At 48.4% G+C, this 16,769-nt stretch overlaps 2 pseudogenes; one reads left to right on the forward strand and one right to left on the reverse strand.

Annotated features, from left to right (window-relative positions):
* Positions 230-10,474, reverse strand: SPDYE19P (speedy/RINGO cell cycle regulator family member E19, pseudogene; annotated as a pseudogene).
* On the forward strand, positions 4,671-5,664 carry LOC105375134 (uncharacterized; annotated as a pseudogene).

Below are 16,769 nucleotides of genomic sequence, written 5' to 3' on the forward strand. Positions count from 1 at the left end.
CTCAAACTCCTGGCCTCAAGTGATCCTCCTGCCATGACCTCCAAAAGTGCTGGGAATGTAGGTGTGAGCACTGCACCCAGCCTTGTGTTTTTTTTCTACATAAAAAATAATGCAGGATTGTCTTCTAGAGCTAATTAATATATATGTTCAAATAACCAAAAGCCCATTGAGGAAAAATGTCACATGACAGCAAATAATCAATCCAGACCAATATGATCACACTCGCTGTGAAGGTGAGAAAACTTCATCTTTATTACGTTTCCCCAAGAGACGCACTGCATTGTTCTCTTGAAAACACACAGCTCATGTTCTCCTTTAAAACACACATCCTCTTTAAAGTAACATACAAACATGCCAATACAAGGTAAAAAGTTACATCAGAATTCTCACATTTCAAAAACATACAGTAAACATCAAATAAAAATTTATTTTTATAAGAATTTAGGGGAACTATCATGTAGCTGTAAGTGTAGTACATATATTAAGTATCATAGATAAAAAGAGTGCTCCCTTCAGCAGCACATGTAATAATAGATACAAAGATTTAAAGATAAAGATTTAAAGATAAAAGATTTAGGATAAAAAGAATGCTCTCTTAAAAAGGAAAACAAAATTATATTTATGTGTATATAGCAGCTGTAACAGCCATCTCACAACTTTATAGGAACAGTGTCTATTCAAAAATACCAATATTTTCAAAATATTTAAAATAAATGTAGTAATAATTCTTCTAATAATGCCCATCTTTTTCAAAATCAATAAAATATATAGTATATATTAGACATGTTAGTATATATCTAAGATGTTAAAAATCACAACTGAATTCTCACAATTCAGTCACAAATCTAAACAGCAAATAAAAATGTGTATGACAGGAATTTAGGGGAACTACCAATAGCTATAAATAGAAGAGATTATTATGGAAGTATCATAGATAAAAAGTGTACTCGCTTCAGAGGCACATATAATAATACAGAAAACAATTTAAAGATAATAAAAGATTTAGGATAAAAAGGATTCTCAAAATGAAAAGAAAATTATCTTTATGTATGTATAACAGCTGTAACTCTCATCAAAAAATCTACAGGAACAGCATGTTTTCAAAAGTACAACAATTTCCAAACTATTTGAAATAAACCTATTAATAATTCGATGGCCAACATTTTCCAAACCAATAAATGCATAGTGTGCATGAAGCTGTCTGTTACAGTCTATGACACTCATATTTCACAAAGAATTCTGTGCCTGAGTGTCTGCACTGTGCCTTCAAATGCTCCTGGACTGTGGCAACCAAGTCCGTAAGAAACAGGACCTCCAGGTTCCACCCCAGGGAAGTTGGAATTCAGCAATATAAAAAGGGAGGTGGTGCCGCAGGAAGGGGTGGAAACAGAAACACCCCTGGTTTCTTACTGTTCTCTGTGGATTCCTAGAAGTACCACCCCCCCCCCACCCCCAGTCCTAGGACGACAACGTGATCACTCTATTCGGCTTCATCTAGAACAGTCCAGGTTCTTCTAGATGATCTGCACAAATGGCTCCTCTCCTTCTTCCTGGTGCCTGCCATTAGCATTGGAATAAAGTTCCTGATGAAAATCCGCATCTCCCCTGGGCCCAGCATTCTGGAAGTGAGAAAGAGGATGTCACACTTCAAGGAGGCAGCTCTCTAGACAGGAAGGTTATTCACGTCCCATGTCAAGTCTAAGTAGAGTTCAGAGCAATTGAGAAATCCAATTTTATCTCCTGTCCTTCGTTCCATAGCCTGCTTCTGAACCATTATGTTCAACTGTGAAACTCACACTTTGGTGACCCTGACTCCAAAACTCACTTAATACACCCAAGGGCAGCCCCAGTGATCTGCTTCATAGCAAGGACTTTGCGTGGGTCTGCCCAGGGAGTAGGGCACCCTCAGAGAATGTGGCTTTGGACTTCATCACAGCTGGGGCCTTTTGTGTCACTTAAGATCTAAACTTGTAACCATGCTAGATCTGTTTCTACTGTGACAACATCACGAACCCTGAGTCCAGAAGCCTAATCCATAATCCTACCTCCTCATGATGAAGTCTCATGCTCTGTGCTCAATGTGGTTAGCTGCACGAGATGTAAACCAAAGCTTCACTGAACCCTCGACCCAAATCGGTAACTCAAGTGCGTCAATCATAATGAACCTCCCCAAATTCAGTATTTATGATTATTTTTGAGTCAGGGTCTCACTCTGTCGCCCGGGCTGGAGTGCAGTGGCAGGATCAGGGCTCCCTGCAGCCCCGACCTCCCAGGCTCCAGCGATCCTCCTGCCTCAGCCTCCTGAGTAGTTGGAAGTAGAGATGCCTCCCACATCGCCTGGCTACTTTTTGTATTTTTGTGGAGAGGGGATCTTGCCATGTTGCCCAGGCTTGAAGCCAGATCAAGCAGTTGGGTTCCTCAGATTTCTGAAATAGACCCCAATATTCTGCCTTTACCCCAGAGGACACAGATGTACCTTCTCTCAGGCCGATGACCTCAGGCCTCCACAGTCCCTGGAGCTCTAGGAAAGGCGGGCCCGATCTCATGGCCACACCCAGTGCTCTGGGTCATAACCCTGGATCTGGAAAAACAAATGCCCCTTAAGAAGATGGGGACTCCCCAGGATACTCCTCCCTCCCCTCATCCAGCCTCCAGCCCACCCGATTCCTCCCCACCTCCTCCATCTCCCCAGGCCCCACCCACCTCCTCCAACTCCTCCGGGAAAACCCAAGCCCTGCAGCGCACGGAATGGAAGAACTGGAACCAAAGCTTGTGGGACAAGGCTATCTGAGAGCAGTTCTTCCCGTACAGGAAGTAGAAGATGTTTTGTTTGGGGGTCTCGCTGTCCTCCTCCATGTCATTGGTCAGGTAGCTGGGAACAGAAATCAGGTTACTGCTCAGGGGCACCACCAGGAGAGACCTCCAGCTGAGGTCAGCTTCCCAGAGAGGAGGGCAGGGGACCGTCCTCAGCTCAGGACGGGCACCCACCCTGCACAGAGCCACACCTTCCTCAGGAGGGCTCTGCTGGACAGAGACCTGCTGAAGGGCGTCTCCCACTCCTTCAGGATGGAGACAAAAACCCAACTGGTGGCCGAGAGTGGTGGCTTATGCGAGGAATCCCAGCACATTGGGAGGCCGAAGCAGGAGGATCACTTGAGGCCAGGAGTTTGAGATGGGCCTGGGCAACATAGCAAGACCCTCGTCTCTATTAAAAATATAAAAAATACGCCGGACACAGTGGCTCATGTCTGTAATCCCAGCATTTTAGAAGGCTGAAGCAGGTGGATCGCTTGAGACCAGGCGTTCGAGACCAGCCTGGTCAACCTGGAGAAACCCCGTCTCTACTAAAAATACAAAAAGCCTGGTGCGGTGGCACACCTGTTAGTCCTAGCTACTCAAGAGGCTGAAGCATAGGAATTGTGTGAACCCAGGAGGCGGAGGTTGCAGTGAGCCGAGATTGGGCCCCTCCACTCCAGCCTGAGGTACAGCAACACTCTGTCTCAATCAATCAATCAATCAATCAATAACTGTCCAGGTGTGGTGGCACAGCCCTGTAGTCAGAGCTAATCAAGGGGCTGAGGTGGGAGGATCGCCTGAGCCCAGGATATGGAGGCTGCAGTGAGCTTTGATCTCACCACTGCACTCCAGCTTGGGGGACAGGGCAAGTCTATCTCAAAAAAGTAAAATAAATTGGATACATTGATATTTTGCTAGGACCCTGCCTTCTACAGGCATCTAGTCTAATGGGACTGGGAGTAATCAGGGCAGATGACCTAATCCCAGTGTCACATTATAATAGGATGTAACTGGAGAGCTATGGGCATGCAGAAGTTGGAAGATGAGGGAAGGCATCACAGAGGCTGTGGGGTGAACTGACTTCAAGGAATGGGTCCTTCCCTTCAGAACCACATGTGTGTGGGACACCCAGACAGAAAACACAAACGCAAAGTCGAGTGGAGGGCATTTGGAAGGAGCAGTGAAGCCAAGCCAGGAAACACCAAGATGGTGAGCCAGTGTGGTTGTAGAGATTGTAGAGAGGGTGGAATTGGCACTGTTACCCTGGCCTCGATAGAGAAAGACATCAGCTAAGGAGGTTGTTCAGGTGGGCAGTGAGGTTGTTGTGCTGTGGAAAGATGTTCAGGCTGCACTAGGGAGCCCCCTGGCTTGGGGAGAGACTCCAGGAGACCCTGGCAGGGAGCATTTGACAGTGGATTCGAATGATGCAAGGGGGACCTGAACTGTGGCCTCTGTCGTGGGAACCCGGAGGAGGACGATGGCATTTGCGGTTGATGTGGGAAGGAGAGAGAGAGAAGAACCAGAAACGTCTGCTTGCTGGGGGAAGTGTCGTGTCCGCTCCTCCGCTCCTTTTCTTCTCCCCTTAGGAGCAGTTTATGGTTCCTTTTGCTTTATTCTTTTTTTTTTTTTTAGAAAAAGTCTTGCTCTGTCGCCCAGGCTGGAGTGCAGTAGCTCAACCTTAGCTTACTGCAACTTCCACCTCCTGGGTTCAAGGGGTTCTCTTGCCTCAGCTTCCCAAGTAGCTGGGATTACAAGTGCACACCACCAAGCCCAGCTAATTTTTCTATTTTTACTAGAGACGGGGTTTGGCCATGTTGGCCAGGCTGGTCTCGAACTCCTAACCTCAGGTGATCCACTTGCCTTGGCCTCCCAAAGTGCTGGGATTACAGGCATGAGCCACTGTGCCCAGCCTGAGTTTCTTTTTAGAAACAGTTTAAGAACAAGATAGTATAATCCTGTCTTTTTTGTACACAGAGTAAAGAGGACAAATAGGTGAAAGAATAAATGACAGGCTGGAATCTCACCTTCCTCTGCTGTCCCAGGGCGTTGGATACTGATGGATAGGAGTCAGCAAACCACTCACAGAGCCAGGAAGAAATGAATGCGTTGGTATTGCCAGGAGAAGAGGCTGGCCGGGCTAGAATACGCTATGACCATAGCCAGGAGATACTGATGGAGCGAAGGGAACACAGAGAGGGAGAGGTCACATCTTGGGAGAGGAAGATCATGGAGATAGTGGAATGGGGGTCTGGGGAGGGGTTGCCCATCAGAGAAGGGTCCTCAGTGTTGGGGTAACTGTGCTCATGTGCAAATTGCGGGGTGGAGGGGTATTCAAAGGTCGGATGCAAATTCGAGAAGCCGGAGGAAGGGATGTCGGTGATGCTCCCAGGATGGTGGGCTCTGATGGGATCTTTGAAAGTGTGAGTCTAGGTCAGCTGGTGTCAGGAGGGTCTTTTGTGTGCCAGGCAGAGAACTGTCCCAAAGAGCTGAGAGTAGAGGGGCCAGGAGCTTCAGAGCTGCGGCCAGACTGTGGCCCATGGCTCAGATCCCAAACGACCTGTAGGAGAGGCAGGGGCCACTCATTCACTCGGCAAGAGACCAGCAGAGTCCTGAGGGAGACGCTGGCAAATCATAAAGAAGACCAAGAATAGCCGGGAGTGGCGGCTGAAGCCTGTGATCCCACTAGTTTGAGAGGTGGAGACAGGAGGATCACGTGAGCCCAACAGTTTGAGAACAACCGGGGCAACATAGCAAGACCCTGTTTGTATAAAAATTATTCAAGCGTGATGGCATGTGCCTGTACTCCCAGCTACTCAGGAGGCTGAGGCAGGAGGATTGCTTGAGCTCAGGAATTAGAGGCTGCAGTGAGCTGTGATCATGCCACTGCACTCCATCCTGGGGAACTCAGCTAGATACTGTCTCAAAAAGAAAAAAAAATGGGCACCAAGACTCAAGACTGTGGGAGCTGGAGGGGCACAGTGGCTGATGTCTGTAATCCCAGCACTTTGGGAGGCCAAAGCGAGTGGAACACCTGAGGTCAGATGTTCAAGGCCAGCCAGGTCAACATGGCAAAACCCTGTCTCTACTAAAAACACAAAAATTAGCCAGCCATGGTGGTGCATGCCTGTAATCCCAGCTGCTTGAGAGGCTGAGGCAGGAGAATGCCTTGAACTCGGGAGGCGTCGGCTGCAGTGAGCCAAGGTTGAGACACTGCCCTCCAACCTGGGCAACAGAGCGAGACTCTGTCTCACAAAAAGAAAAGAAAAAGACTGTGGGAGCATCTGGTGGGAGATGCTGGAGGGAGAGAGGAGAGGAACTGTGGGTTTGGAAGCTGTGCCCTGCTCCAGGCGGTGCGTTGAAGCAGGAACACCGTTCCGTAGAAAACAACCTTACTTTGTCCGACACCCTCAGATCTTTGTCCCAGACCAGGAGTCTTTTAACGACAGGATCCTCTGTGATTAGAGAGCAGATGTCAGCGTGAGAAGCAGGACAGGGTTTCTGTGGGAGCAGCAGAGCAGCGAGGAGAAGTGTGCTTCCCGGGGGGTAAGTCTCAGGATTGTGGCCGCAGGTGAGGTGGATGGGAGAGGGGAGAATGACTTTCACTGGGCAAGGGACAGAGGCTCCTGCTCGGAGAGTCCCCTGAGAAGAGGCCGAAGGAGGCCCTGGGTGTGAGAATCTATGGGATGTAGAGCTGGGAATAAGCCAGGATGCCCTCCCAGCAGACACGGAGAACCACTGCAGAGTCATAAAGGAATTCCCATCATTTCCTCATGAGACAGTCACATCAGGGTGCGACCATGGCCTTGGTATCCCCCACTATGGATGGAGACACTTAGGTTTAGAAAAGTCAGTAAGAGACATTAAGTTTCAGAGAGCACAGCTGAAGCCACTTTCTTTGATTTTTTATTTTGTTTTATTTATTTATTTATTTACTTACTTACTTATTGAGATAGAGTCTTGCTCTGTGGGCCAGGCTGGAATGCAGTGGCACAATCTCAGCTCACTGCAACCTCGACCTCCCAAGTTCAAGCGATTCTCCTGTCTCAGTCCCCTGAGTAGCTGGGATTACAGGCGTGTGCTACCACGCCCGGCTAATTTTTGTATTTTTAGTAGAGATCAGGTTTTACTATGTTGGTCAGACTGGTCTCTAGCTCCTGACCTCAGGTGATCCACCTGCCTCGGCCTCCCAAAGTGCTGGGATTACAGGTATGAGCTACCGCAACTGGCCTTGCTTTTTCTTTTGAGACAGAGTTTTGCTCTATCACCCAAGCTGGAGTGCAGTGGTGCCATCATAGCTCACTGCAGCCTCAAAGTCCTGAGTTCAAGCAATCCTCTTGCCTCAGCCTCCCAGTGTGCTGGGATCTCAGGCGTGAGCCCCCGCACTCAGCTCAAAACCAAGCTTTCTCATCCCAAGCGCTGACCTAATCCTAATCCTCTATCGTCTCCTAAACGTCCCTCATGAGTGATCACTTCTGAGTCCTCCCGCATGGAGAGCTCACCCACTGGGGGCATATTTTTCCCATTGGAAAAGTGTGGTTATTGGAAGTTTCCTCTTTTTAGAAAGAACGGGATTGGAGGTGCTCTCTGGGGTGTCCTCCTACCAAGCAGCCTGTTGAAGGCCTCAGGTGCTCAGGGAGCACGGGTGACACTCGCTGTCACTTCAGCTTCTTCTTGAGCCCACACAGTGTCTCCGCCACCCAGGTCTCCTCAGGCTCAGAGGCGAGCTCCTTCTCTGGCTCCTCCTCTGACTCCTCCTCAGATTCGTCCGACCACTCCCTCTTCCTTTTCCAGCAAAGGGACCTACCCCAGGGGCTGGGATCTACCCCAGGGGCTGAGTAAAGAAACCAGGCCACGGTGTAATGCTTCTGCAACTGACCACCTTAGACCCCGACCCAAAACCCCAAACTACTCTCCATCCTCCCCAGCCTCACAGACTGTTGGTTTCTCCAAGCCATCTTTCTGTCTTTCTCCTCTGCTGAGCCCCATGTGGTGCTCCTTCTCCTCCCCATTCTTGCATCTCTCTGTCCTGAGAACACTTCCTCATGTCCTTCCCTGGTCCCTGGCTCTCTGAGTCCCTCTTTTTCTGTTTGTTTGTTTGTTTTGTTTTGTTTTGTTTTGAGACAGAATCTTGCTTTGTCTCCCAGGCTGGAGTGTAGTGGTGCAATCTCAGCTCACTGCAACATCCATCTCCCGGATTCCAGTTATTCTCCTGCCTCAGCCTCTCAGCTCTCAGGTAGCTGGGATTACAGGTGTCTGCTGTAATGCCCAGCTCAGTTTTGTACTTTTAGTAGAGATGGGGTTTCACCATGTTGGCCAGGCTGGTCTCAAACTCCTGGCCTCAAACTCCTGGCAGGCCAAGTGAACTGCCTGCCTTGGCCTCCCAAAGTGCTGGGATTACCGGTGTGAGCCACTGCACCCGGCCTGAATTTCTCCATTCTTCCCACACACCCTTCTCAGGTTCTCCTTCCTGATCTCTGACCTTTTTTTTGTTTGTTTGTTTTTTGAGACAATATCTCTCTCTCACCCAGACTGGAGTGCAGTAGTGCTATCTCGGCTCACTGCAACCTCTTCCTCCCAGGCTCAAGCGATGCTCCTGTCTCAGCCTCCCGAGTAGCTGGGATTACAGGCGCGCACCACTACCATCTGGCTAATTTTTGTACTTTTAGTAGAGATGGAGTTTCACCATATTGGCCAGGCTGGTCTCGAACTCCTAACCTTAGGTGATCCGCCCACCTCGGCCTCCCAAAGTGTTGGGGTTACAGGCGTGAGCCACTGCGCCCGTCCCCCTTCCTTCGTCTTAGTCAATCCTATCCTACCTCTTCTTCCTCCAGTCCCCTCACCTGATGGTCCTGACATGTCATCATCCACCACCTCCTGGAGGGGGTACCCCGAGGCGCTGGGCTGGGGGCTCTGCTCCTCATCCTGGAGGTGTGGTTGATGGCTGGTCATGATCTTTCCCAAAATCTGTCCCATCCCATGGAACCTAGTCTCTATTCTGTCCAAGGCCTTCTTCTGGACTCTGCTAAGACCCAGAAGAGTGTGTTGTCAATTCTCGAGGCTGGGAGAAGTCAGGAGTGGAGAACAGCTCTGAGAAGATGCTTTGTCCACCTGAGCTCCCAGGCGCCCACAGAGTCCAGTCCTTCCTAGGAAGGTTGGAATCTCTGATGTCATTGGTTATTCCAACCTGGCAACCATTTGGAAGAAAAACACATGTAACTGCCAGGCTGATCTCTTGTCCTGGGTGAATGGTATCTCCTGCCACTGTCCCAACCTCAGACCACTGTCCAAAAGCATCTTCAGGGTCTCCGCATCCCTCTGTTCCCTGTCCCAGCAGAGGCTGTGTCCTCTCCACTCAAAGCCTGAAGTATGTTGGGGTCTCCTCTTCTCTGTACATGCCCATTTCAGAGTCCAGTCTGGTGGGAGAGGGAACAGGGTGGGAAAGAAAACTAGGCTAAGCAGAAACTATGAAACCTTACAAGAGTGAGATGATCATGTACAAGAGATCCCAGGAACATTGACCTTGATGAAAAAATGACATCAGAGCACTCAATTTGGCAGAGCTTTTCTGCCGAATGCTTACTGACATTCACTGTCCGAGATTCTATACTGGGGGTACAAGCGTCCTCTGCCCTAAGGCATCTTTGAGTCCAAGAGACATTTTGAGGCCTGAAAATCATAGGAAAGTGCCCATGAGCTCACACATATTTCCAATGGTGTCCCCAATTTCAGGGAGTCCATGGATTACCTAAAGCTAGCCTCTCCAGTTCGGCTAAGAAACTCTAGTCTATATATCAAGTTTTGTATCATACGTATTGCTCTGAACTCAGAAATTTCCCTACCATTTATGGATTCTATGAATAAAATATCGCATGTACAAAAAGACTAAGTCGAAAAATCTCAGCTGTGCACAGTGGCTCATGCTTGTAATCCCAGCACTTTGGGTGGCCAAGGGAGGAAGACTGCCTGAGGCCAGCAGTTCAAGATCAGTGTAGGCAACATAGCAAGAGCCCATCTGTAAAAAAACAAAACCAAACCAAATTAGCCAGGTGTGGTGGCTGGCACCTGTGCTCCACCTACTTGGGAGACTCGTGACAGGAAGATCGCTTGAGCCCAGGAGTTAGAAGCTGCAGTGAGCTATGATCTTGCCACTGCACTCCAGTCTGGGCAACACAGCAAGACGTGTCAAAAAAATTTTTTTGATAAAAAATAAAAGTTGCATGACATTCAGAGACCATCCGAAAAACCTGTGGGTTCCTGGCCGGGCTCAGTGGCTCATGCCTATAATCCCAGCACTTTGGGAGGCCAAAGGGGGTGGATCACTTGAGGTCAGGAGTTAGAGACCAGCCTGGCCAACATGGTGAAACCCCATCTCTACAAAAAATACAAAAAATTAGCCAGGCATGGTGGCGGGTGCCTGTAATCCTAGCTACTTGGGTGAGGGGGTGCTGAAGAATCACTTGAACTTGGGGTGCAGAGGTTGCAGCAAGCCAAGATCACACCATTGCACTCCAGCCTGGGCAACAAGAGCAAAACTCCATCTCAAAAAAATAAAGAACTTGTGAGTGAGTTCCCACATGGCTTCGTAATGTGCTGTGGCTCTCCTAGGAGTCTCTCACTCATGGGAAAGACACAGACTGAGTGAAGAAGCAGATCCCATTGCTGTGGAAGTCCCATTGTTAGGAAACTCTGCTTTTCTGGAGTTCAAATTTGCATTCATGACGCTTTAAACCGTCAGAGCTGGGTAGGTCCTCCTACAACAAAAGAGTTTGCTCTCTCTCTCCTAGTTAACAGGCTTTCAAATATTAGAAGATCAATGTCCTGACCCCATTAAAATTGCTCTTTTGTGGAATGAAAAGCTCTGATTTAACCCGTCTTCAAGCCTGGTTTGCATATTCCCCTCTCTTCTGGCCACCTTGTCTAGACACACTACACTGAGGCCGTGCCCATCTTAAATGATGTTGATACGTTGTCAAAAAACGTAGCGAAGCAGGTGCGGTGGCTCATGCCTGTAATCCTACCACTTTAAGAAGCCAAAGCAGACAGATCACCAGAGGTCAGAAGTTCGAGACCAGCCTGGCCAACGTGTTGAAATCCGTCTCTACTAAAAATACAGAAAAAATGAGCTGGGCGTGGGAGTGCACATCTGTAATCCCAGCTACTTGGGAGGCTGAGGCAGGAGAATCGCTTAAACCTGGAAGGCAGAGGTTGCAGTGAGCCGAGATTGCGCCACTGCACTCCAGCCTGGGCGACAGAGCAAGACACTATCTCAAAAAAAAAAAAAAAAGGCTAAACAGCCCAGGTTTGGTCTGATATGTTCAGAAAAAAGCAAAACAGCCACCTCTCGCCTTCTCTTTTCCCGCAGTGATGCAGTTGAATACAGCAATGGCTGCAGGTATGCGGCAGAAATATCATTCAAGTGACACAGAAGGGCTTTCCTGGCCAGACACAGCGGTCACTCCTACAATCCCAACACTTTGGTTGCCAAGGTGGGAGGATTTCTTGCAGCCAGGAGTTGGAGGCTGCAGTGAGCTGTGATCCCACCACTGCATTCGAGGCTGGGCCTCAGAGTGAGGCCTGTCTCTAAAAAAACTCTTCACTCCCCACAAGAAGGGATTTGCAAATACCAGCCTTTCAGCACGAGGATCACATGGAGGAACATTAAGATATAGATGCTGGGACCTGGCCCTATTGATTGTAATTCAGAAACTGAGGTGGGGCCTGATTTAACCCCATCATTGGAATCCATTCAGATTTGGAACTCTCTGGGTTGAACAGTGTAAGAGAGATCCTAAGAAAGCAAAGTCACTATGGACTAAAATGAGCAGACAAGGTTTTCTTTCTTTCTTTCTTTCTTTTTTTTTTGGAGACAGAGTCTTGCTCTGCCACCCAGGCTGGAGTGCAGTGGCGTGATCTCGGCTCACTGCAAGCTTCGCCTCCCAGGTTCACGCTATTCTCCTGCCTCAGCCTCCCGAGTAGCTGGGACTACAGGTGCCTGCCACCACACCCGGCTAATTTTTTTGTATTTTTAGTAGAGACGGGGTTTCGCCGTGTTAGCCAGGCTGGTCTCCATCTCCTGACCTTGTGATCCTGCCCGCCTTGGCCTCCCAAAGTTCTGGGATTACAGGCGTGAGCCACCGAGCCCGGCCGTAGACAAGGTTTTCTGAGCATAGTGAAATATGATCTGGGCCTCACTTGGGAGGGCTGTGGCCAGGCCTTGAGTCCTTGGCTCAGTGAGACTATCTGAAACAGCCTCCAAGCTGCGCTCCCTGCTTCCTTTGCTGTTGGATGACCTCCTCCAGCGGCTTTGGTGCTGATGGGAATAAGTCGACCTGCAGAGGAAGTTCAGCCCAAGTCTCAGCCCAGCAGCCTCCCCACACCTGACCGGGGTCTGGTCATGCTGCCATCTCTGCGGTTCTCTGCAGAGTTGTGGTTTCTGTACCTTGAAGAGAATTTCCCCTTCTGGAACCCAGAAACCCAGTAAACCCTGAGGAAAAAAGCAAATGAAATTACTCTGTGGCAGGGAGATGGAAAAGAGGCTCTTTGTTTTTGTTTTTTTGTTTTTTGTTTTTTGAGACACAGTTTCACTCTTGTCACCCAGACTGGATTGTAGTGGCTCAATCTTGGCTCACTGCAAACTCTGCCTCCCATGTTCGAGCGGTTCTCATGCCTCAGCCTCCAGAGTAGCTGGGACAATAGGCACACACTACCATGCCCAGCTAATTTTTGTATTTGTAGTACAGATGGGGTTTCGCCATGTTGCCTGGGCTGGTCTCGAACTCCTGGCCTGAAGCAATCTGCCTGCCTTGGCCTCCCAAATTGCTGGGATTACAGATGATGTGAGCCACTGTGTCCAGCCCTCACTGTACGGGTTTTCTAAAAAAAAAAAGATTAAATTTGTCTTATTTGCCACAAGGTAAATTAACCTTTTCTCCTCTCCTTTTTAAAGAGTATTTCCTTGATAAACGTGGTAATATAAATAACTTTTGTGCCTTTGACATGTATCTAAATCTTTTAAAAAGGTGAATGAACTTCTTGCCAACACTACAACCCAGGAATTTTTTTTTTTTTTTTTTTTTTTGAGACGGAATCTCACTCTCACCCAGGCTGGAGTGCAGTGGTGTGATCTCGGCTCACTGCAACCTCTACTTCCTGGGTTCAAGCAATTCCCCCGTCTCAACCTCCTGAGTAGCTGAGACTACAGCGCCTGCCACCACGCCTGGCTAATTTTTGTATTTTTAGTAGAGACGGAGTTTCACCTTGTTGGTCTGGCTCGTCTTGAACTCCTGACCTCAGGTGATCCACCCACCTCAGGCTCCCAAAGTGCTGGGATTACCCGCCTGATCCACCACGCCCAGCCACAACCCAGGAATTTTTTTCTTAAGAGCCTGAGAGTCTTGTCTTTGAAATGTAAACCTCGAGGAAGATAGTGTCCCTATCTTCCTGTTGCCTAGGGAGTTTAGCCTAGGCACCTTGAGCTGTTACTACCTGCTTGTCAAGGAGATATGAGAAGTTTTGTTTTTTCACCGGATACAGGTAATTAACTAGCATGGGTGGCCACCTTGATTTCCAGGTGAATTTAGGATGAGTGTTTAAGAATGCATAGCAGGCCAGGTGCGGTGGCTCACACCTGTAATCCCAGCACTCTGGGGGAGGCCGAGATGGGCGGATCACTTGAAGCCACACAGAAATCAAAAGAAGGAGTTTGAGTCCAGCCTGGCCAATATGGCGAAACTCTGTCTCTACTAAAATACAAATATTAGCTGGGCATGATGGCACATGTCTGTAATTCCAGCTACTCGGGAGGCTTAAGTATGAGAATCACTTGAACCCAGGAGGTGGGGGTTACAGTGAGCCAAGATCACACCACTACACTCCAGCCTGGATGACAGAATGAGACCCTGTCTCAAAAAAAAAAAAAAAACATAGCAAGTCCTTTTACATGAGGATGAGTTACCGTTTATCTTGAGAGCGTGTATGCAGTGGATCATGTCTGCCAGGCTATGTAAAAAGGAGGCTTTGGCTGGGCGCCATGGCTCACGCCTATAATTCCAGCAGTTTGGGAGGCCTAGGCGGGCGAATTGAGAGGTCAGGATTTTGAGACCATACTAGCTAACATGACGAAACCCCGTCTCTACTAAAAATACAAAAAATTAGCCAGGCGTGGTGGCATGTGCCTGTAGTCCCAGTTACTTGGGAGGCTGAGGCAGCAGAATCGCTTAAACTGGGGAGGCAGAGGTTGCAGTGAGCCGAGATCATACCACTGCACTCCAGCCTGGGTGACACAGCAAGACTCTGTCTCAAAAAAAAAAAAAAGGAGGCTTTATTTCTCTTTGCATCTCATTAATGGATCACCTGCGATGGGCATCACAGTTTGGTTTAATGTTTATTCAATAATAAAATTGTTTTCTTTATTTTCTGAATTTGTGGAGAGAATATTCTAGGTTAACAGAAGAATTTATTTATTTATCTATTTATTTATTTAGAGGTGGAGTCTTGCTCTGTCGCCAGGCTGCAGTGTAGTGGCGTGATCTCGGCTCACTGCAATCTCCGCCTCCCAGTTCAAGTGATTGCCCTGCCTCAGCCTCCCAAGTAGCTGGGACTACAGGCGCGCACCACCACACCCAGCTAATTTTTTGTGTTTTAGTCGAGACAGGGTTTCACCATGTTGGCCAGGATGGTCTTGGTCTCCTGACCTCATGATCCACCTGCCTCAGCCTCCCAAAGTGCTGGGATTACAGGCATGAGCCACGGTTCCTGGCATCAGAAGAATTTATTTTTAGTCTTTTCCTTACCAGTTTTTATGAAACAACTGGGCAAGAACACTAAGAACACTGTTAGAGTTCACCAAAAAATTGTGATGAATCATTGTCCTTATGATCCCATTTTTGAAAACTGACATTTTAATTGTAAAGCAAAAATAAAATTCTAAGCCCCCACAACTGACTGAATGGACTCCCCTGTCGGCCAGCAAGATCCAAAATAAACATGAAAAACTAATTCAGGTCATGATGGGAAGGAGGGGGTCGGACATGCCTTGTCATACTCTCCTCCCTTCAGAGTTTAGGCACAGCTGACCAACATTAACACTAGAATACAGATCATAAGACTGACAGAACAGGCTCTTTGTATCAGTAAGATACCCAACTCCATCCAGACTCTGATATAGCATCACATGACAGATAGCAGTCCCTGAAGGAAATCATAGTATTTTATCCCATAATATATTTTCTTTGACACACTTTAAAATAGTCCTGCAAAGCCATCTCTTTGGGGGAAATTTGCATTCTGTAGAGAATCTCCTTCCCTTACAGAAAAGAAGTCTTTTCTGGAGATTCTGACACCTTTTAAGATCCAATAAGAGATATTTATCATCTATTCTCTCTGAAGCCTGTTCTGAGGCTTCATCTACATAACAAGAACCTTGGTTTCCACAATGCCCCTTATCTTAACTCAAGCTTTTCTTTTCTTTCCCTCCCTCTTTCTTTTCCTTCCTTCCCTCCTTCCTCTCTCTCTTTTCCTCCCTCTCTTTCTCTCTTTCTTTTCTTCTCTGTTGCCCAAGCTGGAGTGCAGTGGCACCATCATGGCTCACTGTAGCCTCAACTTCCCAGGCTCAAGCAATCCTCCCATCTCAGCCTCCTGAGTAGCTGGGACTACAGGCATGCACCACCACACCTGGATAATTTTTTTTTTTGTAGAGGTGGGGGTCTCGCTGTGTTGCCCAGGCTGTCCTTCAACTCCTGGCCTCAAGGGATCCTCCCAGCTCACCCTCCCAAAATGCTGGGATCACAGGCATGAGCCACCGCAATGGCCCATTTCTTCATGTCGTTTTCCAACTGTTCAGCCAACGCTTAACTCTGAACCAACTGCCAATCTTTGAATCTGCTAGTGACCTGAAAGCCTTTCCAGGCTGACCCAATGTGTACCTCTCATGTATTGATTTATGTCTTTGCCTGTAACTGCTGTCTCCCTAAGATGTATAAAACCAAGCTGTAACCCAACCACTTTGGGCTCACGTTCTCAGGACCCCCTGAGGCTGTGTCACCAGCCATGGTCACTCAAGTAGGAGGCCCAGAATAAAACTCTTGACAGACTTTGAGTCTTTTTGGTCAACATAACCTAACCCTAAACATAATCCTCCTGGGGAAGGTGAGATCACAGGTATCTCTTTTCTTCGTTCGATCTGTGTATTTCCTGATTTCTCTACAGTTTTTAGGCATTCGCTGTGTGATCTAGAAAAGCTACAGAGTCTCGCTCCGTCGCCAGGCTGGAGTCCAGGGGCGCGATCTCGGCTCACTGCAACCTCCACCTCCCGAGTTCAAACTATTCTCCTGCCTCAGCCCCCGAGTAGCTGGGATTACAGGCACACGCCACTACTCCCAGCTAATTTTTGTATTTTTGGTAGAGAAGGGATTTCACCATGTTGGCCAGGATGGTCTCTATCTCTTGACCTCGCGATCCGCCCGCCTCGGCCTCCCAAAGTGCTGGGATTTATAGGCGTGAGCCACCGCGCCCAGCCACAAATTCTATTTTCTTTCTCTTCCTTGGAAAGCATCGCTGGGCATTTATCCTGTCCTAGTATTTGAGTGAAACTTCTCTTAGCATTTCAGCGCAGTGACCACGATACACCCTTTCCTTTCCTTCTCTTTATGGGAAACTCGGTTCTAACCCAGAGGCCTTGGGCTCCAGGACCCAGTCAGGCAGCCCTGGACTTGACCCTAAAAGGGAGTAAAGACAAATGCGAAGTTCAATCAGGGGTTCAGAGCTCCCAAAGCTCATAGCCTGGAGCTTCTTAACCTTTAGGCAGGGTAGAGACATTTAAAACGGCCCCTAAACTTGGGGGGCGCGTAGGCTCATGGGAAATAGAGTAGGGTGCTTGTCCTGGGACCAGCTGTGGGCCCCGGAGGCTGACTTCCGGTGCACTCCTGCGCGTGTGCACCTCTCTCTGTGTGCGTGTTCGCGCATGCGCGCCGCCG

The sequence above is a fragment of the Homo sapiens genome, chromosome 7 (genome assembly GCF_000001405.40).
Source record: "Homo sapiens chromosome 7, GRCh38.p14 Primary Assembly".
Taxonomy (NCBI): domain Eukaryota; kingdom Metazoa; phylum Chordata; class Mammalia; order Primates; family Hominidae; genus Homo; species Homo sapiens.